The sequence below is a fragment of the Homo sapiens genome, chromosome 9 (assembly GCF_000001405.40).
Source record: "Homo sapiens chromosome 9, GRCh38.p14 Primary Assembly".
Classification (NCBI taxonomy): Eukaryota; Metazoa; Chordata; class Mammalia; order Primates; family Hominidae; genus Homo; species Homo sapiens.
The window spans coordinates 14,419,316-14,444,621 of record NC_000009.12 but is presented as its reverse complement, the minus strand read 5'-3'; the positions used below and the strand labels follow the sequence as shown (position 1 = coordinate 14,444,621).

The 25,306-nt window shown below is 41.9% G+C and overlaps 1 protein-coding gene and 1 non-coding gene across 5 annotated transcripts in view; both read left to right on the top strand.

Moving 5' to 3' along the window:
* Positions 1-25,306, top strand: part of NFIB (nuclear factor I B) — a 450,235-nt gene that overhangs the window by 87,456 nt on the left and 337,473 nt on the right. The gene's annotated exons all lie outside the window — the stretch shown is intronic.
* TRH-GTG1-6 (tRNA-His (anticodon GTG) 1-6) lies at positions 10,611-10,682 on the top strand. Its single transcript has one exon. It is a non-coding gene; the product is annotated as a tRNA-His (tRNA).

Below are 25,306 nucleotides of genomic sequence, written 5' to 3'. Positions count from 1 at the left end.
TTTCTTTTCCCCCGATACATTTCTGAGTCTTTCAACATCTAATCATGAAAACAAATCTTTCTCTCTGGCATGAGTATAAGTAACACCTTCAGGGATAATTCACTCTTATTTAGAAGCTCATCCATTCTCAGAGTTTCAACAATTACCATTATGCTTATGACTTTCAAAACTCTATTTTTATTGCTTTCCATCAAGCAGCCCAAGTGTCAATTTTTTCTAGCCATTACCTTCTAGAGAGTGCCATTTGAATGACTTACCGTTACCTAAAACTCTATATCTGGTTTGATGATCTATGTTGAATTTCTGAATACTCTTCTAAAATCTACACTCTCTCCCTAGGTGTGTTCTTTCATTGTCTTGGTTTTAACATCATCTATATATTGCAGCTTCCAAACCTCTTACTCTAACCCTAAGCCTCTCTTGTGAGTTCCTGGTTCATGTACCTAACAGCATATTTGATATCTCAATTTGGATCTTTCATTGGCATCTCAAACTGACACATCAAATATGTACTTTCGCATGATTAGGGCCATGAAAATCATAAATATGCTTAGAAAATGACAAATAATTTTGCTTAGCTGATCTTAGTATGAGGGATTGAACAGAGGTAGAAAATATTACCAGAAAAATAGTTTGGGGACACACACTGAAGAGCCTTTGATGTTTTGTTTAACAGTTTGGACTTTGTGGACAATGGACAGTGACAGAAATTTTTATTTTCTGTTCTTTTTTCATACAGTAAATATTAATTGAGGACCTCCCACATGTTAGGTAGACAGTATGCTCAGCAGTGAGAATATGTCCACATCTGTAAGTCAGTTTCTGTCTTCACGGATATTACAGTCTATTGTGAGATTTAAGCCACTAGATTTATATTTTAGAATGATAACTTTGTACATGTGGAAAATTAAAGGGTGAGACCACAGGCAAAAATAGGAAGGCAAGAATGCCAAATGCCTGGATTAAAATAATTGGGAAGTAAAGATGAAGAGATATCTCCGAGAGTGTTAAGAGGAGGATGTATTGCAATTGGGGCCAGGTTAGAATAAATGGAATGGAGAAGCATGGCTTAGAAAGGGACTGAGGATGGCATCGCAGTTTTCATCTGGCTCATGAAGCTTGAGGAATGGCAGTGCCTTTACCTGAGATAGGTGATGTGGAAGAAGAAGGGCAGGTGGGTGGGAGACACCTGACTTCAGTTTGGACAGTGAACCTGAGATGCCTATGAGACAGTCAGTGAAGAGGCTGGATAGCTAATTAGAAATATGGCATCATGTTTTTTGAGAGAAGCTTCAGATGAAGGCATTGGTTTGGAAGCCCATCTATAGGAAGTAATAGCTGAGGATGGAGGATGGAGGTGGGTAGCATGGAGACTGCCAAGAAGGAGAACGGAGATGATCATTCAGATGACACACAAGAAGAAAAATTTGGCACTGCCCGACTGATCACCCTCAGCACTGCCATAGTTAGCTGTGAACCTTGACCTTCCTTTCCCAAAGCTCTGTGAGTCGGCCTCCCACTGTCCTGCACTCTGGGAAGGACAGAAGCAACACCACATATAGGCAGAAGAGTCATGGCGGGGGGGCGGGTGGGGGGTTGGGTTAGATTTAAAGATCTGTGAAAGATTTGCCTGCCACCACACTTGGGATTGGCCATGTCGCAAGTGTGGCCCTGGGTCAAAGCCTTGTGCATAATAGCCTTCCGCAGACTGCAAACACTATACCTGATAGAAAAACATGTTCTAGTTATACACATTAGTGATACCGTTGTTACTAATAAAAATAGCAGCTCATGGTTTATGGGTTAAGCCGTGTCCCCTCAAAAAGGTATGTTGGACTTGAACCCCCAGATCCTCAGAATGTGACCTTATTCAGAGAGTCTTTACAGAGATAATCAAGTTTTATAGAACTAGTGTCCTATCAAAAGGCAAAGTCTGACACGGAGACAGACACACACACGCAAAGATGAAGACAGAGATTAGAGTGATGCCAAGCCAGGGACCGCCAAAGATTACCAGCAAACCTGCAGCTTGGGGAGAGGCCTGGGACAGATTTTCCCTCCCAGCCCTCAGAAGGAACCAGCCCTGCTAGCTCCTTGTAGCCTCTAGAACTGTGAGGCGATCGGTCTCTGCTGTTGAAGCCACCCAGTGGTAGTGCTTTGTTATGGCGGCCCTAGCGGACTAATACATGGCCGTGTTTTACTGGACATTTTGTCAAATGCATTTTTTGCTCTTGCTCATTTGATCCTCTCAACGACCCCTTGTGGAAGATATTATTAGGTAACCTCTTTTACAAGGTGGGAAACTAAAGCAATCAGAGATGCATGTTCCTGTGTGATAAGACACAGGAGACAGAAATTTTAGTGGGGAGAATATCAGAAAATTTCACACATGGGGCCCAGCACACTAACCAGCATTGTAGGAGAGGGTGGTGATTAGGAGAGGGTGGTGATTAAGCGAGGTGGACCCAGAGTTAGCCTCCTAGGCTCCAGTCCCAGCCCTGGCAGCTCTGCCTGTGTGATCCTGAGCAAGCTCCTTCACCAACTCTGCACCTTGGTATGATGAAGAAAATCATACCGAAGGTTCTCCTGAGGATGAAATGACCTAATTCCTGTGAAGTGTTTAGCACAGTGCCTGCCGTATTACTATGTGCTCAACAAATGGTAGCTATTTTAAAACAATCATTCATGGGAAATTACAAGGGAGCAGAGAAGCCCTTGTAATAAGCCCTTGAGGGTAATACAATCATAGTTGCCTCTCGTAAGTGTACTGTACAAAGGGTCTGTAATAAATGCATTGTATATATTTAATGGTCTCTGGGTGTCTATGGCTAGGGATGGATAGCAACTACTGCTTATTCCATAGGCAGACATGGCCACTTGGTGATTCTCTTCCACGGCCCATTCACTCACCACTGGAGGAGGCCCTCTCCTGAGGTCAAGCCCATCTTGACCCCCCAGGAAGCTGCTTGTCATAGTAATAAGGGTTGAGACTGCCTTGTTAGATGACAGGCAGGAAAAAAAAAAAGAGGAAGAAGAAAAAGAAAGAATTCTGGGCTATATGCAACTGGGAATTAATCAGTTAAAAGGTCAGAACATAAAGTATGGGTTTTGATATAGATGGATCCCACATGCTTTGAACTTTAAAAATCACCGCATAAGGTTTCACTATAAGCACGTTCACCATAAAGGGACTTCACTACACAAATAATGAGAAAAGAAACGAAATCTCCATCCTGAATTTTAAAAATGCAATTAAAATCGGCGCAGACCCACTGAGCCTTGCCAAATCCTGCTTTAAATAACAGTTTGGAGAATCACAAACTTCAATTACTTTTGGCAATGTCTTGGTTTTCCATGAGGCACTACAGGTTATTAAATGTCGTAGCTATTTAGCTTGCTAATGAATAGTTTATCCTACATTCAATTAGGCTGGTTTTCCGTCCGATTTTTTTTTTTGTTTTCTCTCTCCTTTTTTTTTTTTTTTTTTGAACCCACTCAAAGAATTGATGATAATTAAGGGAAAGCTGTCAAGGGTCCAGGTTTTTTTATCCAAGATATCTTTATAGTTCTAGGGCTACCTAGGGTAAAAATCTGGCTTCATCTTATAAACCTAATATCTATCTTCCATATCAGGAATGGCTGTCATAATGATGATAATAGTAAGAAAAATTGCAGTTGTATGTTCTACACAACACCTTTCAAACTGTTCTGCATATTTCACATTTTTCTCTTAATACCTTTGTGTAGTAGAAAAAGAGCAGGTTTATTATTCTTTTTAAAGTCAATGAGGCAAAGGGGGATAAATGAATGTTCCCAGATTATAAACTTCATCATGAACAAAGCAGAATGAAACATGAACACGTAATGTAGTGTTAATTCTCTATTCATTTCATTGCATTATCCAGTTCCCTGGTTTCTCTCTCACTCTCAAGTGACTGAGGCATTGTTATCAGGGGATGCAAATAGTATTTTCATGTATTTTTGAATCACAAGATTATCAAGGTCTGATCAGTTGGACAGCAGTCTCTTTCTGATCAGTGATGTGCTTGTTTATTTCATAGCCCCGCTTTAATCAGGAGAGATTGTGGCTCTAGTGATTTTTGACATTCATTGAGAAGGTTGAAATTGGACATAGACCCTGTGTAATTCAACAAGTATATTTGTGAAATGTACTTCAGAAGAGGCAAAATTAAAATCACCAATAACAAAACACCTAACCATAAAAAAAATAGGCCAATTAAAGAGCCCTTCGATTGGTATCAGCTCCTTCTGCAGCTCTAAAATTAGACCGCACTTCAGGGATTCTGGATCACACCCAGGCCAATTCAATATTTCAATCTAGTCAGCGTGTGCTCTGTCCTAGGTGCTAAGGTGAAGCATGTGGGAGACAAGATGAGGAAGACACAGCTGGCCCCTTGCAGAGCTCTGTGGCGGTAGACTGCCCCAGCCCCACCCCAGCTCACACCAGGTGCCTCATGCATGTGAGGGCTCAGCCATTTTCAGAGCAAGCTCATTGTCACCACTATAAGAACAAATCTAGACAAAAAGTAGGTCCACCTGGTGAGCCAAATGCCTGGATCGTTCTACAGAGGAGGGCTTTGAGGAAGGACTTCCAGCTCCCATGTGGCTCAGCCACCCCCTCTCCTTCCAATTCCCACCCCAAAGTTCTTCTCCTGCCCTGCCTACTTAGCTCCTGACGAAATTGACTGAGATATTGGTTCATATAGGGCAGAAAAGGCAATGTGCCAACCCAAAACTGGGGCAAACGGCTTCCGCCTCGGGGGTGTTTTCAACCCTTACACCGTGTTTTTGCCTCTCTACTTGTTTTCCTCACATGCCCCTATCATGTCCCTATCTCTGGAATTGGAACCACCTGTCCGGACCCTGAGGCACTCTGGCCCATCTGGTGTCCAACTCACCCCTTGGCCCTGACCACTTCTCATAAACAGAGCCCAGTCCCTCAACCTCAGGCCACTTCTGGGGCTCAGCATGTGCCAGCTCTCCTGGCACCCCCTCTTTCTGGCCTGAGGCTCAGGGAAGCTCACTCCCACATCTGGGGTGGCCAAAGTATAGCTAATATTTATTAAGCACTTACTAAGTACCAGACACTCTTCTAAGCACATTGTATGTTTATTCAATCCTCACAATAGCCCTATAACGCAGGTATTATTATTATCCCCTTTTTAGGAAGGAAATTTAAACACAGAAAGATTAAATCATTTGTCCAAGGCTATCAGCCCCAGACCTTCAAGTAGCCTGTGCCTCGTTCTGTCACCCAGGCTGGAGTGCAGTGGTGTGAGCTCTGCTCACTATAGCCTTGACCTCCTGGGCTCAAGGGATCCTCCCACCTCAGCCTCCCAAGTATCTGGGACTACAGGCCTGTGCTACCATGCCTGGCTATCTTTTTATTTTTTGTAGAGAGGGGATTTCACTTTGTTGCCCAAGCTGTTCTCAAACTCCTGGCCTCAAATGATCCTCTTGTCTCGGCCTCCCAAAGTGCTGGGATTTTAGGCACGAGCCACAACGCCGAGCCTGAAACTTCTTAACAAAAAGTAGCTCCACAGGGATTGGTTAGAACCCTGTTGGCCATAAATCCAGAATGCTAACTGGGCTCCTTCCGGCCGACACTTTTCTTTCTTAAAACCTCAGAATCTTAATGTGATGGTAAGAGAAAATGTGGTCATTGGGGGCGTTCCCAGGCTCTCCAGTACTCAGCAATCCCTCTCTCCACCCCATGTCCCTCTTCCTCGGGCGTCCTGTTGCCACCCCTCTTTCTACATGCAGAGCCCTCATTCTCTGCCGCCCCAGGCCTTCAGCTGTTCTCCCGGCTCTTTGTTATTACACATTATCATTAATGGATCAGCCCCCGCTCACGAGGTTTCCAAATAGAGGCCTGGCCCACCAGATCGTAAAGGTTAAGCCCGTGTATTCCAGGGGGCTGTGTCAGATGAGGAATTCTATTAGAAAGCTTTGCATCTGGAGTTTTCTAATGGTGCCTTCAGGCAAAAAAAATTAAAATTAAACCACCAACCAACAACCCCTCTCCACCTCCACCACCCCCTTTCCAGCTTTCCCCACAGCAAGATTTCTGACTTGGTTAAATAGAATTCATTAATAAGCAAGGGGGAAAATCACTCCAGGCAGTTTACTCTCGAAAATGTAAACTGTTAAAACATTTTGTGGTTACAAGAATTCTGAAAATAATGCGTTGTTCTCTGGTGTTTCATGCTCTCTCAGGATCAACGATTTTCTGATACACACAGGAAGCGTTGAGATGGTCACACGTAAGACTATTTAGCACCCAGCGTTTCTTTCTGATGGTGATGTATTTGGAAGCTTGAAATCTGGACCTGCAATTGACTTGGGCTTCCTCTGCTTTCAGCTATCTTATTTTCCCCCTAAAAACATGATTTATTTCCATGAGTGTGTGTAGTATATGAGCAATCCTTGGTACCCTTACAAGCACGAGATTTGTCCAGCCTTTCTCTCCTTCCCTCCCTGCTTCTCAGTCCCCCCTCATCTACCCCCCACCAATCTCTCTCTCTCCATCTCACACACACACACATGCGTGCACACGCACGCACATACGCGCACACACACACACACACACTAGGATGGGGGTGGTGTTCTAGAAAGTACCCAAGAAACAAGAGGCAGGACTCTGGGAGGAGGGAACCGTGGATTCTTCATTGCAGGGGGGTTCCCAACCTGTCTTTGTCTGAAAACTGGGCACTGGGCCAGCCTCAGCCTCACGGATTGCCACTCTTGGCCTCCAGCCCAGTGATGGATCCGACTGTCATTTCCCTACCCCCAGCGAGGCAGGAGGCACACTGAGAAGAGGGACGAGCAGGAGAACACAGAGCTTGGCCTGGGAAAAAAGGTAGGAGTGGCAATGCTGGAGATAGGACTCAGCTGGGGAGGTGGGGGACCCCCTCCGGTCCCGGGCCCTCCTGTCAGCTCCCAGCTCCTCTGTTAGAATCCATTATAAACAACCAGGGAGAGGAACAACTCCATCAGAAGAGCAGCTCCAGGAAGCCTGAGGAGAGGCAGGAAAGCCAGGCTCTCTCACGTGGAACAATGAGCCCCTGGTAAACAGTCATCTTACTTTTAAAACTCTGGAAGGGGAAGTCAACAATCTTTGGGGATGAATTCAATAGTTTAATGTCCCGCACAAGCAGGAACTTCTTGCTTACACCCAACTTAAATCACTCATACAACAGACTGATCCCTATTTAAAATGTGTTGCCATAGGCAGGGAAATAAGGCTGACAACATTTGGAAACCGACAAAGGGACAGCTTCCATGAACTTCAGAAAACACATAAAAGATAACTATAATAGCTATAAGATTCTCCTGCTTTGAATAGGTGTTTTTTCCTGCACACTTTTTACATTTGGATATTGTTGGTAAATGTATTTCCCTATATTAAATGTATGGCATGTCAGAGGCATAAAGAATCTGAAAGCTCATCTAGCCCAATTTACCTTACCTTTCTGATGAGGAAATAGAGACACAGAGAGGTCAAGTGACTAGTCCAAGGTCACACACAGAGAAGGGTTGGAGAAAGAACTGGAATCCAGACAAAGCAGGCCACTTTCTTCTCTGTCTCTTTCTCTCTCCTCCCTCTCTCTCGTAATGCCTTCCTGCCTTTCTCAACTTCAACCTCATTTGAAAACTTTTAAGGAAATTTCCTTCCGGGGTGCCAGCTCATATATTATCTCTATTCATCTGTGTCTCAGTCACTAGACTATAAATTGTGTGAAATCATGATCCATTTCTGTTTTCTTCTCCACTGAATCCTTAAGATTCAGAAAAAATAACTGAACTATAGTAGATCCCAAGTCTTTGTGAGTCATGAATAAATTAGTGGGAGAGTGATAATAATGTCACTATTGATATAGCACAATCAGAGAAAAAGAATAATCAGGTGGTAGGTTGCCAAGAAGTTGCAAATGCCATCAGAAACCATGTTTTGGTCCCATGGGTTTTTCCTTTTGTAGTGAGTCACAGGTATTTGGCGCTGTGGAAGAAATCTGAATGCGTATCCTAAGAAGACAGTGAATGTGCAGGAGAAATTTGGTAACTGTTCAAAAGTCCATCTCACTCTAACAGGCAAGAACCTTTCAGAGTCTATCCACACAATGACTGACATCAAGTAAAGGAGAAGCCCATACAGATGCCAAATGAAAGCCTTACCTGGTGAACACTTCTCTGTGTCAGGGTTTTGCTCCCCAGTCATGTGTGTCTTGAGGCACACAGCCTCACAGAGTTCTCCAAGCTGAGATTCACCACTAGTGGCATGGCTGGAAGTCCTGAGTGATGTTCACCTAAGATTTCCAGCTCTCTGCTTTCCAGGCATATGGCAGGGATGCACTGCCTGGGACTTTTATAACAGGCTGAGGCCATGGAACCAGATCTAGCCAGTGAGTTGTAAGAAGAGATTTTCATTGCTGGTTCAGGAATCTGCAGAGCTCTTTCCATTTGCCAAAGCAATGAGCAGAGTTCATGACAGTGGTTGTTACCTTAACCTGGCTGCCTGAGTGAGGAGACAGAGAGCAGGGCCATGCAATAAATGTGGATCAGCGCAAGGGAAGGAAAGCCTTCCTTATTCCAAGCCACTAAGATTTGCACATTGTCACATAGTATGACCTAAGCCGACAGATCCAATGTGTGAAGTAATTTAAGGAGTTACCTAATGGGTGTGGCATTTAATAGTATTAAAATCTGTGAAGAGAAAGTTATTCCTTTTTCAAATCTTTTGTGGTCATTCGGAAGAGTCCAGAAGAAGCCTGGTTCTGAGGCCGATGAGGTTTTAACAGATCTGCCCACCTTCCTTTTAAACACAGAGCAGAACTTGAGCTCGGAGCTTACAGTGTCTGCTAGGATTTAATTCTATTGGTTTGTTTTCACATTTTGTTTTAGAGTGACCTCTATTTATGGAATGTGTTACTATGTTTTTAAATATATGGAATGTTGTAAACTTTCATTTGAAAATTTTGTATTTAAATTATAGTAATGTAACTAACATTTCCACTGTGCTTACTATGTGACAGACCTATTTTAGGTTGACATGTACTTATCTGTTTAACCCTCATAATAATCCTATGAAGTAGTTGCTATTTTTATCTCCACTTAATAGATGAGAAAACAGAGGCACAGAGGTTAATAAGCAGCCCAAGTTGCCCCAGTTAGTAAGTGATAGAGCCAGAATTCAAATCCAGATAGTCTGGTTCCACAATTTGTATGCTATGAGTTGATCTTTTACAAATATTATTTCTCCTGTGGTTCAGTTGGTACATGGCCACAGCAAAAATTATGAAGGTGGTACATGAATGATTATATTTTAGGAAACAATTATGTCCTCTTTTGTCGAGCAGGAGATTTGGTTTGCCCTCTTGCCACAGGTGAACTTTCACCAGACTCACCCACATGTATTCCTCTTCAGGCCAGAGAATGCCTTGCCTGGTTCCTGCATAGGGCATGCATGGCTCAGGAGCAGGAACTCCAAGCAAGAATCTTCTATGTGGCCATAGACGGAAGATGTATTTGTGAGAGATGGAAGAAAAAGAAAAGGGGCTATAGATGATCAGATGGGAGTGAGTGAGTGAACATTTATGTGAAACTTTTCTCTTCAGAGATATCCTCCTTCTAGAAGCCTTAGAGCTGTGGGCACCCAATCAATACATGCATGAGGTTCTTGCCACCCACATACAGTGCCAGCTAGCTCCAGCTGTTCCCAGGTCCTCTCTGTATAGAGGAATTAAAGGAGGCACCCTGATAACAATCCATTGATTAGGTATTCCTGTGCATTTTGTTTTAAGATTTTCAGCCCTTGGAATATCTTGTGTAGACTACTTACTACTTCAAGTTTTACAGCAAAGAAATCTAAAATCAATTTCCTCTTGAAACTTATCTAGCATAGAACACTCCAGTTTCTTTGTGTGGTGGCTCACTAATGTTATTGGGAAGCTTTTCTTGCTGAGATGATTCTGGCTTTAAGGCCTATAGCTATTCTGGCGGGGAGAAAACTAGCTTCAAGGATCAATGAGTTTGAAAGGGATCCTTTCCTCAGTCAGGATATACTGACTTTGGCTTCCCCTAGTAGGAAAAGCAAGTCTTTTTGAGTCTCTGCAGTCCCCATTTTGTTCTTGCTATATTTTTTATTGTTGTGCTGCCTAAGCAAATGGAAATAAGGCTAGTGGTGAAAAGATGCACAAAAGAGGCTCAGACTCATATGTTATTCAATGCAGCATTATTTGGTGGTGGTTGGGGTGGGAAATCCATATCCATTATTGATTAAACATAGGAAGTGTGAGTCAACAGACTGGTATCTCTTAGTCTTGTTACCTTCATCACCATTTCCTGGACAGCAAACCCAGTGAATCCTCTCCTATCACAACTTTCCCAATCAGCCCAGAAGACAATGCTCATTTTATTTTCAAGGAATTTATTATTGTTCCTCTAAATAATTAGAAATTACGGGAACACAGCTTCTCTTTCCAAATATTAAGAAAATGTACGTATTTAGGCAATAGATGGCAGTGTTTCCACAAATTTTAATATTGCAATAGCTCTTAGAGAAAGCTTAGTGCTCAGCTCTTCAGTAGCTTGCCGTGATCGTATAGTGGTTAGTACTCTGCGTTGTGGCCGCAGCAACCTCGGTTCGAATCCGAGTCACGGCAGGAGGGGAGAAGGTTTTTGGAAGAGAACGAGGCTGATCCCAAGCTGTATTACATCTAAACAACATTTGCAACCAGACATGCAATCATGAAAATCAATAAAACAGAAAGCATTATGAATATTTTCAACTTCAGGGAGATGACATATGCAGAGTGACTTTATTAATGCACTAATCCTGTTGCAAGTGTGTTGTGTGTGGGGTTTTTTATTTGCACTGATGGGTAATATGATAAAACTGGAGTGTAGTGGGCATGTAATTATTATTAATTACAACTACTTAAGTTCTGCTTTGAGCAGACTCGTCAAGTCTGCTTGCTTTTGAGCCTTGCCAGGGCTATACAGTAATAACAACCCTGAATTATTTGGAAAGATGTCAGCAGTAGATGTGGAAATCCTGTTTAACCAGGCATGAATTGTTGTTGGGAGGGTTTTTTCAGGATGACAGAGAGAAAATGAACTGTCCCTTATCAGTAATTGCAGGAAACATTTTGTTTCTATGATATGAACTGGCTGTAATTTAACTTTCCTGCATCATTGGATAATGTAAGAAGCCAGTTGTTGCTCAAAACGAAAATCTCTGAAGTGGGCATTTGGGTCTGATAAAGGGCATATTATAAGTAGACAATGGGGCTCAAACAATAAATAATGTCCATATATGGCAAAAAAATTTTTAATGACATTTTCCAAAAGACTGGGGTTTGTATTGTAAGTGGTTAAATGTCGAATTAATGTGAGAAACACAGCTTTAATGGGCCTTTCTCCAGGACTTAAAAACATGGACAATACAGCCTGAAAATGTCAACTGTAAGTATGTTATAATGAGGTTTTACTGCTCCAAAATTATACCCCACTATGTTTTAAATAAGGGGTCACCAGAAGGTGTTTTTTAATGCCCCTAACCCCTGTCTCACAGACAGCCTAGCAAAAATTCATATTTGTTATTTATGTAATACTAAAAATATTTTCAAATAAAAATATGTGCACAAACTAGAAACAGAATCTATCAAGTTCTTTCAGAGCCAGCAAATTCTTAGAAGTAATATTCTAGAAAAACTGCAATAAATATCTCTTCTCCCTTTCCAAGAAAAGATCAGTCTCTGATTATGGACCCAAAAATATTGGCCTCATAGCATTATGAAGTAAGTAAAATGTGCTTATGTCCTCTTTCAATACCCACTTTCAAGACTATTTTCTACTCTGAGGTCTCCTCTTCCTAAATATGGCAAATTCCCCAGTCCTCACCCCTTGCCCCTTATCCCCCACAAATTGTGCTTTCCCTTCTCCAAAGAGTTTAACCTAGGCTTTGCCTCAAGTCTGCAAGTCCTTCTCAGCTGCCTGGTACTAATACTGTTTCAAGAAGACAGCTGAATTGCAATTGTTCTTACATTAAAACAGAATAAGCCCATCTATGGTTATTTGTATTAAGAGGCTGAAAGTGCAATGAATTTCTCATTTGAAGAAGGAGATTGTGTTGGTCAGAATTCAATGGTCACAAGCTAAAGAAACAACATGTACTGATTTAGAGAGAACCATGTACCCAGGAATGGGTGTAGCAGGGGCTTAAGAAACAATTGGAACTAGGGAATAAAAGATGACCAGAACCAACTATCTCCATCTCACCCCATATTTCTTTCTGAATGTTGCCTTTATTCTCTGAGACTGACTTCTACATGGCAAGAAACATGGCAGCCAGCAGCAACTCCTGCCTTTTATATCTGAAGCATTGTCTCCAGCAGGAGATTACCTTAGTTACTGCTCAAAAAATACTAGGGAAGGATCTTATTGGCTTACCTTTGGTCAGGTGTCCATCACTGGACCAATCAACTGTGTACATGGGGAGAGATATATGTAGCATACAAGAGAGCCTCTCCATTGTCTTGAGGCCAGTCTCACAGTAAGAGCATTGCTAGCCCCAGAGACACCTCAGTTGTCTCCCTCAGAAGCTTTTCCCACTGCATGAGTCAGGCACACCATTTGGTGGCTACTTCCACCAACCCATGAGTTCAGTTGCCAAACTACTAACAAATTTACTGCCTTGTTTAAAAGAAAAGCAGTGGGGGAGGGGAAGTCAGAATATGACAATCAATCTGGACTCAACTTTCTGCATAGGGACACAGGGCAACTGCTTGGACCAGGGGAGCACTTCCTGTTTTCTCTCCTCTGTCTCACCAAGAGAGGCCTTTTTCCCCTGGATGACAGTGCTCCCAACTTAGCTAGGAAAGAGCACAAAACCTTCCTGACTCTACCAAATAAATCAACTTGAATTTGGGCAAGTTATCTAAGCTCTCACAGTAAAAAAAAAAAAAAACAAAACAAAAAATGGTGGAGAGAGGGGAGATGATATTACCTTGATAATTAAAAGAATAATATACAAACAAACAGAAGCCACTTAGAACAGGAGCACATGGTAGAAATGCAACACTGGTGCCTGGCAGGCATGCAACAAATCATATTTCTTCTTACTATTTTAAGGCTGCCTTGTGCACTCACCCACCATCCAGCCTCCATTGATAGACTCTCTAGAGTGAGTTTTCCATTAGCAAAAGGACTCTTTACCATTGACTTCAGAAGTTTTTTTTTAAAAAATGTGATTAAGTAGACTACAATCCAGGGGTAGAAGAAGAGTCAGGATCTACTGAGTGGCCAGATCCATGTCCAAGTTTGCAGTCCTGGTTCACTCTTCATGAGGTTATTGTGACTGAGTGTCATAATAACCAATGGTTGTTTTCATCAACAAAGAGTTTGCTGACATTGGGTTTCCTTCTTGCTGTTGTTAAAATGTGTTTTTACTCTAAAACCAACACAACATTGAGTTAGTTTTCAGAAATGTTAAAGCCCAAGTTATGAGAGAAAATTCTAATTTTGAATTACATTGAGAAATTATCTGCTTTTAAATTTTGTAGAATCATTTGAGAAATATCTCAAAGGCCCCATTATTTCCATGCCCATATTGTCTATATTTTATACCAAACGTAATACCTGTTCATGAAACATCAGGGAGACTATGATATAATCTTACAAAAACTGTCTCTCCAAAATGTCAATTATAAAGCATTTCAGGGCCGGACGTGGTGGCTCACACCTGTAATTCCAGCACTTTGGGAGGCCGAGGTGGCTGGATCACTTGAGGTCATGAGTTCAAGACCAGCCTGGCCAAAATGACAAAACCCCCTCTCTACGAAAAATAAAAAAATTAGCCAGGCAAGATGGTGAGTGCCTGTCATCCCAGCTACTTGGGAGGCGGAGGCATGAGACTCACTTGAACCTGGGAGGCAGAGGTTGCAGTAAGCTGAGATCGTGCCACTGCACTCCAGCCTGGGTGACAGGATGAGGCTGTGTCTCAAATAAATAAATAAATAAATAAATAGCATTTCAGGGAAAAGGCAAGCCATTCTCAAACTAGATTCCTTGACAAGTCTTTAATGAGGAAACATTAGAAAAAGGACAGAATCCTGATTTTGATCACATGGCTTTGACAACTGTAGTTTTCACCAGTTGCATTGTCATTCCCTGGATCCGTTTATTCAAATTATAACATCATTTGCTCATTGAAAAGTCAGGAAAGCTTTTTTTTTTTCTTTTCTTCCTCAGAGTCAACTACCATGGCAAGAAGAAGTCTTAATTCGCTGTATAATCTGTTATTTTCTGTCCCTCGTGTTGGTGTAGCAGCAGTCAGTGATCTACTAGAGTTTGTTCAAGCAAAAAAAATTTTACCCATGTAACTGTAATTGAGTACCTGAATTAAAAATTCAGAACTACATATGCTTGCTTTATTACCATAAGCTTATGGCTTTACCTAAATGCCTCTTTCTTGCTTGCTCCCTCCAGTATAGTGGGTCAGAGTTATCTTCTTAATCTCCACCATTAACCTATTGAATTGGAAAGGGTTTATATTACAATATTTTCTATGCCTACATTTTAGTGAGCTTTCATAAATAAAGGAAATTAACATTTATTTTCTGATTAAGTCATAAATTGAATTCAAAGTAAATTAGTCATACAATGAATACTCTCTTATTTAAAAACCAACATCTATTCCCAAATTATGAAGAATAAGTGGTTTTTTTCCAATAAAAATATGCCAATGCATAGAAAATAATTTATTACATCAGAATCTGAATGGATGGAATTCACTTTCAGGGAGTACTGCTGGCCAGAGAGGTTGTTGCTGCAGGCCCCATGGTAGCAGTGGTGGGGAGGCGGCGCTCCTAAGGTGCAGGACACTGGAGCAGCAGTGGACCCAGAGTGTCAGCTGGTGGTGGCTTTGCGAAAAGAAAGTGCTTACCCACCAACAGCTGCTGCAATTTCATCCACAGGATCCGAGAATTGAGGGATGATGAAGGGACTATTTCTTCCCTCTGTAGCTCAGCCATAGGAAGCATGAGACATTGACAATTCTGCCGGTGCTCCTAACTGTTATGTTATCACTTAACTAGTAACATCACCCTTAAAAGCTGAAGATCTGTGGCAAGGCCTGGAAATGTGGGCCTTGCAGGGAGGAAAATTCTGACAAAAGCTAAATCTGAGACAAAGCTTTTCTAAAGAGACCTGGATTCAGATCCTGCCTTTGCCACTCTTGACTCCTTGACTTTGGACTTGACCTCTTTGTACTTTGGTTTCTTAGCAAACCGGAGAGATTATGTGAATTAGGTAAGGGGATGTATATCTGGTGTGAATCCTGATGACCAGTACTCCCCTTCCCTTCCTTTCCTTTCCAGAGCCATAATCTTTGTTCTATGTTCTTTGTACGGACTTCCCAGCATACCAAAGTCAACCAAAAATAAACATGCCTTGGGTTGTGCCACTCTGATTGGCAGCAGCTGTAAGACGTGCATGTCTTCACCTAAGCTCTGTCATTTGATTGCAGGTCATGCGGCCCCTAGAATGGTGAACTTGTGTGTTCCAGTCCCTCTGATAATAAGCAAAGAGCCAGGCAGGGAGGTCCCGGTCAAGACGCGCCGGGATAAGCGAAATTGCCACTAGATGGCGCTGCTTTTTGTCGTTCATCAAAGACCAGGGGCTTTTTCTTTCTTTCTGTTTTTTTCTTCCAAGGATTCCTGGCCCAGGGTGTCAGCATCCAGTATCCTAATCTTACCAGACGTCTCTGTTTTCTGAAGGGAGGTCCTATTTTCAGTGTATTATCAAGATCAGAGGACCAGACTCCACCTGCAATCTGGGGGAATTACCTCAACAGTGTTGTCTTTATCCAGAGGTGATTTTAAAAGAATATACTGTATTTGAATGTCAACGTTCAAAGGCTTTGAGGCAGAAAATTCCATTTCAAAAGAAAGTGTGATTAATGAAGCCACATAAATCCTGTAGAGGCTGGAGCAATTTCAGAAATCACACCATGCAAATCAAAGAAGCAGGTTTTTCTACATCCTCTCTCACTTTCTCTTGTTCTTATTTCTGCACCATCTCAACCTTTCCTTCCCTCTTTCTCTTTTGCAGTTTCTTGAATGCACGTCCCCCCAATCTCCAAAACATAAGGGAACTTGATCAGAAATCCTAGATACAGCTAGCTTCAGGCTCCGACCTGAGCCATTTCTCCTCATTCTTCCCCCAGGAGATTCAAAGAGAGTTGAGGCTGTAGCATTCAACTCACACACCTCACTACTTGCTTATAAAATGGATTCAAATTCTGGAACTCCACTTGGTCCAGTCTTAACAAGATGTTTTCCTTAAAGAAAAAGCTAGGCCAGGCACGGTGGCTCATACCTGTAATCCCAGCACTTTGGGAGGCTGAAGTGGGAGGATTACTTGAGCCCAGGAATTTGAGGCCAACTTGGGCAACATGGTGAAACCCCATCTCTACAAAAAATATAAAAATTAGCGAGGTACGGTGGCATATGCCTGTAGTCCCAGCTACTCAGGAAGCTGAGGTGGGAGGATCACCTGAGCCTGGGGAGGTCGAGGCTGCAGTGAGCCGTGATCACACCGCTGTATTCTGGCCTGAGTGACAGAGTGAGATCCTGCCAAAAAAAAAAAAAAAAAAAAAAAAAAACAACTGAATTAAAGAATAATGTAGATCTGTACCTTTTCTAGAAGAAGTGGCAGGGGAATTTTAGAGACTGCCCCACAAAGAAAGTTACCCAAAAATCCCCTTTAGGCATTTCTTTGTCTATTTCAAATTTCCTGCTTATACCAGCTGCTAAGTGTGCCACCGACTCTCCTCTGGGTTCTCCAACCAGTCACTCTTCTATTAGCCTTCTCCACTCCTGCATCCTGTTCACATTCCCCGTCCCATCCATAAACATAAGCTCTCTATTCCTTGTGCTAGGAGTCCCCTCAGCACCCTGGAGAGGGTGATTGCCTTGGCCCAGTCTATGTGGGCTTCCAAGCTGAGCTCCTTATCCAGAGTAACAATGTATCAAGTTGTGTAGTGTAGCATAGTGGAGTGTAGTCCAGTGATTGAGCACATGAACTCTGGTGACTGATTCCTGTGTTTAAATTTAAGCTCCACCAATTACCTGCTTGATGACTTTAGGAAAGTTACTTGGCCCCTCTGTACCTCAGTTTATCCTCATGTAAAATGTAGATAATAATAGTATCTGCCTAAAGGGTTGTCACGTGGACTGAATAAGCTAATATAGGCAAAGCACTTAGAAGAGTATCTGGTCCAGAGAAAGCACAATACAAATATTCACTATGAGTATTATTATTATTACTATTATTACCATTATTGTATGCCACACATAAAGATGAGTAAAGAGAGTATAAGAATGAACAATGTATTATCTTTGCCTCCATAGAGCTGTCAGGCTAATGGAAGAAACTGTTAAGTCAATCGGCACTTGCAATCCATCATGATAAGATTATGAAAAAGAAAGCTACAAGTATGATAAGAGTACACATATGCATTTAACCCTTAGTTGGGAATCTAGAGAAGACTTCTTTTTGGCACTGAGACCTGAAAGGGGCCATGGAGTAGTCCCTTTCCAGAGACAGCTACCAAAACACACATCTTTTCTGGCTTTTGTGGGAAGGACACAAGCAGAAAAGAGGGAATCTTCTTCATATTTCTGCTGGATCTCAGTATGGCTCCAGTGCAGTGAGGTCTGAAGGGAACTCAGCACCATTTTACAACTTGAGAGCTTTGCATCTTCAGGAGCTGTCAGAGGTTCCCCAGGCAGGGAAGTAGGACTGTTCCTGAGCGATGTGATATGGGAGGGGCCCATATCAAAGCAGTCAGAGAAGGAGGATACAAATGGATTTATTTCTGAATGTCCTCCTGGGTGCTCCTGGAAATATTCTGGCATGTTCAGCTAGAGGAATGGTTGGAGGAAGGGCAGAAGTTTGGTAGGCTTGATGAGCTGGTTGGGACAGAAAAATATAAAGACTTACAAACATTGGGAAAGTAAGTTTTTCCTTTTTTCTGCTTTTAAAGATTCATAAGATATACAGTTTGATCAGTTAGCAAACATATATTACATGTCCGCATTGTATGAAGCACCATAAAACATGAAGATACAACAATGAAAGCGAAGGTTCTCAATGAGCTTGCAGTCTATAGGAGAAAATAGACATGCAAATCAGTTCACTTATAATCCAACAAAATGTGTCATCATAAAAGTATGAGAAAAGCCTCATGGGATCACAGAGGAGAGTATAAAAACTACAAAGCCATGCCACCTGCATCTGGCCTGTAGAGCTCACAGTGGTGGAAGGGCACAGAGTGCAGGATAAAGACAGGGAAAATCATGGAGTGATTAGTAAGATTATCATGCTATGAACAGAGCGCTCTGATTTTTTTTCTTTAAGCCAAGAATTGCCATAGAAATTTAAGAATCTTCTTGAGTGACAGTTTAGGAGGATTTGGGAAAACTCAATGGCAGGACCACTCTTCCATTCTGCCAGCTACCTCCATCTCCAACGCATTTCCAAAAAAGGCAGAGTAAAAAGAAAGTAATTGAATAGAGATGGAAGAGGTAAGGAAAAGAAGAAAGGACATAGACCTATGAAGAAAGGTAGCTGTCATCAAACTCTCCAAGGAAGACTCGTTTTTCTTCCTTTAGTCAAAAGGAATCCATAGGTGAGGTTCCCCCTAGAGCATCTACTGAGGTGCAGAGCCTAAGTGTATTTCATTCATTCATTCAACTATCATTTATTGAATGCATATTATATTAAGGTGCTACTCTATGTGTTGGGAGAAAGATGAATGAAACTAGGTCTCTGTAGTGAAGTAGCCCATGGTCCAATCAATCAATAATCACAGTACCACACTTCTGGGTTTGCTGTGGCAATCCTGCAGTTTGAGGGAAAACAAATACCTCGAGATTAAGTGGTCCCATCTAAGCTTCAGTGGATAGCAAAAAAAAAAAAAAAAAAAAAAAATTATGTAGCAATGCTGAAATTTCAATCACACTAAAATTCATACATGCAGAGAAAATATAGTTTCTTATATATGTTTCCTTATATATGTCTCAATCATCTGTGCCCCTTTTCCCCAGATCTCTACAACAGGGCATCAAGTGCACAGCTGGGCAAGCAGCAGGGCTCACATGATCTTGTAGAGGATGGAGTGAGTGGTCAGAGACCACACAGTGCCCCTGTTTTGCCCTCGATTCCTGCTGGTACAAATACTAAAGGCAGGGCTGGCAGACCTTGTGTACCAGCTTCTCTCATCTTGATCAGGGTCTAGTGGCCCTTTGTGGCTGAGTCAGCCTCTTCATCCTGGTTCTGTGTGACACTAAGAATCACTGTAGAGCAGTACCACTAGACCTATCTGGCCTCAAGCAAGGCTCGCTGACAATTTATCTGCCCTTGACTGCTGTGGAATGTGTGGGTGTCAGCCACGCCATAGAGAAGCCTAGAGCTGAGCAGTAAAATGAAATTCCAAACACTTATTTTGGCTGTCCATGCCAGCGGCTAAACCCAAGGCCTTCTGTAGGAATTGGGCACTTGAGTACTTCCATATTTACTCACTACTCCTTCCTTGTCTCTAGAGCAAAGGCCCAGGGGGGGAGATTGGAACAGAGCTGATCAATTCACTTTCCACCCTTTCTTGCCACGATTATCCTCCTAATGTTGCCAGCACTAGAAGAAATGGGCTTTCCTTCCCACTTCCTCTTCTTGCCTAGATGTCCCTCATGTAAAATTCTGTCCACTCCACCAGACTTATCCCCAGATATGTCAAACTGGAGCTAAAGAAAGTTTTAAAAATCCTTTCCCTCTCCATAGAGCCTGTTTCGCCTGCCTGTTGTCTCACTCAAAATGTCAAGAACCCGCCCTCGGAGCTCTGCCTCTGAGTCAATAAGACCCATGGCTCCAGCCTCTGAGAGCAGGCAGTGAACAATAACTGGGGAAGAAAATTAAACTCTTGTCCTTAATGTCTGCAAAGAGGCTGTCACTTTTGAGATAATAAAATTGTATTTCTTTGTCTTCTAATTGGGTAGTCCGAGGAATGTCGTTCTGCAGGTCGCCCCGCGTAAACTGGGGCAAATGTTTCAAGCTCGAATAAGTTTAGGGAATGCTGAGGTAAACAAAGGTAAACAGGTTTATTTAATGTGAAATTGTCAGAGTCTTTAATATGCTAATGTGTTCTGTGAATTCCAATATGCTATTTCCAAAACTTATTTGACCCTCGAACACTTTTTTCACATCTCCTAGAAACAGTGTTCTGCAGAATACAGCAATGGAAAAGGCTGAAAATCCTTTGTCCCCAGAATCATCCATCACTACATTTCTTCTTCTGTAAGGGAGAAAAGATGAGTGGCTGAGGCACAAGTGTTTCAATATCTGATTCATTTCCCATCTAGGCCCCTTCTTTACTCCCTTGGGTCTGTGCTTAGTTTTTAACTTAAACTATCATGGCATCGGTGTTATGAGCATAGAGTACGTGGGGGTTAGACAGTTGGAGAGACTGGAACTTAAAAGAGCTTCTCTCAATGTAAACAAGCAAGCATACCCAGCCCCCACCCCTTGCCAAAAAAGCGAGAGATAAAAGGACCAAATTCCCGAGCTTCTCTGGGAATTCTCTGGTGGAGATGCATGCCGACCCGGGTTGCCCTTGTGAAGGATGGGAAATGGATGATGGGTCATGGTTAAGGAATGCAAAATAAAGATCTCATGACTTTCAATATAAAAATACATATGGTGTAAGATTACTGCACAGTTCCCCACAATCAGAAAGAATGCAAATATTCCCTGCATGGCAGGAACAAGGAAAGCAGAATCTGAGTAGACAGAAAATTGGGATCAACAGGAAAGTTCTGGCCAAACTACTTTGCAGAGAATATAATGATCTTCAAATAGGTTCCCTAAAAGGGGCATTACCTAAGGAAAAATAATCAAAACTCAAGGGACATAGATGAGTTTTTAGGGAGGACAATGATGGATGAGAGGAAATGGCAGGAGAAAACTATAGATGGCCAGGATAATGGGCCCAGTGACCCTTTTACCTCTTCGAACTTTTCTTCTGTCCTGTGTAAATAGAGAAGAGGCTCGATGTCACGCTAAGTAAAAAAGAGGAAAAAATTGATATTTCATGTGCAGCCACATGTGGGCTGAAAGTATAACTCATAAAGAAAAAAATCAGTCCCCTTGTCCACATCTCTGTGTAAGAGGGCTTGATTTACATGTATAGCTTTAGCACGAGAAAACATCTGAGCACACAGGAAAACAGCAAGGAGTTCTGGGGTCCCAGAAGAATCAGATATTACTGGTCACTCCGTGCTCCCATGGATAGGAGCAATAAACCATCCTTAAGAATGAAGTAGATGAGTACGTTTTGCCCCGATCTGATTACTACTCTCAGACTTTTCCTCAAAATAAAACATGATGTATGTATTATTTTCTAAGTCAATCAAAAGTAACTAATGGTAGCACTCTGAATTAAATTGTTAAATATTGCTACTGGCATGTGGGCATACTTTTTTTTACAAAAGGGTCTAATAGAGATAGAAATGATCATTTGAACTGTTATGAATCCATATAGCTCTTAAAAAATGAAATAAAATAAAAGCTGCCCATATCAAGGCTGTTGTTATTGAAAATCCAGAACTGTAGAAACATTTCATCTTCCTCTAGATGGAGGCTGGGGGCCTCCATGTGCATCTTTGTTTTACATGCCCAGCATCCTCCTGACCCTTCCCTTCTTGCTACTTTCAACTTCTCCCACAACACAGGGCTATCTATGGCTGGCAGGGCTGGGAACACAGCACTCTGCACCTTCCTCAGTCGCAGAAGTGGTCACTGGATTCTGGTTGGGTGGATTTTGTACCATATTCTTCTAGCCAAAGAGATTAGTCCAAGATGTGGACCCATGACCTATGCTGAGCCAATCTGAATCCTTCCTTGGAGTGTCTTGAGTGGAAAGTGAAAGGATATTGTCTCAAGACTGGCCTTTTCAAGGTTGGGTTTTATAAGTGTGTTGGCCTTTAAGCCTTATTGCCTTCTTAAAGTAATTTAAGCTAGATGCTTATCACGTGCAATTGAAAGAGTTCCAGCTAATACGGGGGCTTTGGCAGAATGAGAAAGGAGCCTTACTTTCTTTTCCTGACTCCATAAGAATACTTAGAGCAGGCAGAGAAGCACCAGGCCAGAAACATTATGGTGAGCAAACATGGACTCCAGGGACATTCAGGCCTTTTGGAAGAACAAGCATTCATGGACTGCTAATAATTAATGAATTTCAACTGATCAGTGTTCTACAAGTAAAAGTGGCCAATAACCAGAGGCCTAACATCTGGGGAAAAGGCAGGAAAGTTTCCATAAGGATCTGACAGTCTGAGACCTGAAGATGGGGAGTTGTTATTCTCATCTTCCTGGGTCGGAGTCTCCTTTGTCATGTTAACCCTACATAGCATGGTGGCTGCTTCCACTTTAAAATGTCTTTTTCTCACTAACTGAGCTAACACTAGCCTGTTTATATGATTATATTAGTGGGAATATAATTACTTTTTCTGTACTCTTCATACTTCCTGTGGCCTCATCAAAATACATAAGAGAAACTTTTGGTCTGAGTAAAATGAAGTGCTAGGTAGAAAAGTGAAAAAAATAGCCCTCAAGGAAAAAAAAAGTAGCAATTCTAATTCTGCTCTCATGAATTATCTTTGGAGTCCTGAATATCTATTAAAATTTCTGACATACCTGTAGATTTCTGCTCAATCATAAATCATGAAAATATAGAAGAATTGGGTATGCTTTGGTACAAAGAATATGCACTTTCATTGAAAATGAACTCTATAAAGGTGTATCAAAATGAATCTTTGCTGTTATGCAAATTAGCACTGGGCCAATTCTAGTGTGGCATCCTTTGCTTTGTCGAAATGTATCCAACTGTGATGGATCCTCTGTCCATTGGTTTGTAGCAAGTAATTTACATTTGTCAACTTTCATTTGTATGTAGATAAGATAACTGACATTGAAAACCCATCTTCTTATCTTTCTCAATGGAAGAGTTAATCTGATTTACCATTTTCATGATGTATACTCTGCATTCCTCTTCAGTATCTTCAAATTCCAGGTAGTTTTTGACTGATTTGTTGTGTTCCTGCTTTTACATCTTATCTTATGAAAGAACATATACACTCTGTTAAATTAGATCTTAGGGCTTTTAGCCCTCCTCAGACTTTCTCTACCATGCCCCAAAGTATCTCATCCAATAATTAACATTTATAATTATTTAACAAATCTGTATTGAGCCAGACATTGTTCTAGATCTGAGAATTTATAAAATAGATGTTCATTTCAATTAATATGATTGTTATTTATCTCATTTAATATTTCATAAGAATTGGCATCTAGAAAGAAATGAAGGAAGAAAAACAGGAAGGAAGAAAGAAAAGAAGGGGCTTGTCTCTTTATGAATGCTACAGTTTTGCACATGGTATACATGCCTTATTTTTTTTTTTTTTGCCAAAGATCCAGAGCTCTTAAATTATGTGATATTATTTTGTAACAAAATAGTTGAAGGCAGGATGTGAAAAAGAAACCAATGCAATTTACTTATAATTAACTAAGACTAAGTTTAAAAACGAAAAAAAAAATGGCTTACTCTCAGTGGTGCTACTGTTGAACTGTCATCTAAAAGCTTATATAATTAGTGGAAGCATGTTAATTGAATTATGGCAATTAAGTCAGCCTTGAGACAAGAGGTTCCCTCCTGATTGACGAGATAGTAGTAATTCTGCAACCCATTTCCCCTGGTAGGAAGTTTCGGGACTGTGTCTCATCCTGCCCCTTAGTATTTTAGCTATGATGAAGTGGCCAAATCTTGATTTCTCTGGTGTTAATTATCCACTTTGCGGGTTTTCTGGGCCCTTGGATTCTTCTCTTCCTTTCTACAGGGTTACCAGGTTGACAGCATCAGTGGTAGGCTAGAGCCATGAAGAGGTCATGCAATTTACATCTGTTGTTTTTGCTACCAAATATCTTCATCAGTAAAAGATAAGGAGTGGGAGGAATGAAAATATTTGGGGGGTTGGTGTGGAGAAAATGATTATCTTTCCAGCCTTTCTTTGATAGCATCTTTTTTTTTTTTTTTTTTTTTTTTTGAGACGGAGTCTCGCTCTGTTGCCCAGGCTGGAGTACAGTGGTGTGATCTTAGTTCACCGGAACCTCCACCTCCCGGGTTCAAGTGATCCTCCCCTCTCAGCCTCCCAAGAAGCTGGGATTGCAAGCGCACACCACCAAGCCCACTAATTTTTGTATTTTTAGTAGAGATGAGGTTTCGCCATATTGGCCAGGCTGGTCTCAAACTCCTGACCTCAAGTGATCTGCCCTTCTCGGCCTCCCAAAGTGCTGGGATTGCAGGCGTGTGCCAGCACGCCCGGCTCTTTAATAACGTCATTGTTGATTGAAGTGTTGAGAAAAGACTGAAGCCAGAGTTCACATGAGTTTGGGGACAGTTTGGGGACTATACTTGTTCATCTTAACCCTTTTTATAGAGCCTGCAGAGTGAGCTAGCAGCATGTATATCAGGTCCTGTCCCCAACCTGATATTAATAAATGAAGTAGCCTTGGGAAATTTCCTTCCTCTCTCCAGGACTAATTTACTCTACAAAACAAGAATGTTGTAGTTCCTTTAAACTACAAAATTCTATACTTTTTGGTCTATTCACAAGCTCAGGTTCATGTTTTCTAGGGTTTTGAATATGGATTGTTCGCCTCATATGTCCTGGGGTGACAAAGCTGCGTGGGCAGTGTGTATGCCAGCCAGACATACCGATGGGAAGTGGAGCAGATGCCACTGAGGACTGTCAAAGGGTCGGTGTTGTGGATACCTCCAGAAAAAGAAAGCAAAAGAAAAGCCAACAGGGAGGAAGGGGTGGGAGGACCATACTGAAATGTCTGAAGACAGCGGTCCTGGGGAAGTTCTGTGAGCTGGGCCAGCTACGTAACATGCAAGGCTACGTAACGTAACAGGGCTCGTTGCAAAATTAAAACACGGGGTCTCTTGTTCAAAAATCAAAAATTTCAAAATGGCTACAGCAGAGCATTCAACTAGACGCAGGACGCTTCTAAGTGCCAGGTCACATGCCGGTGAAGTGGGCCCTGTCTGTGGGCATGGTTGGTAGGGATTAATCCTGTTTCCAGGGGTTGGAATCACAGCAACCTCCCCTCCCTGGTCCCCTGAATCTGCAAGGCTCACTTCAAGTCTGCTTTTCATTCAGTGCTATGCTTC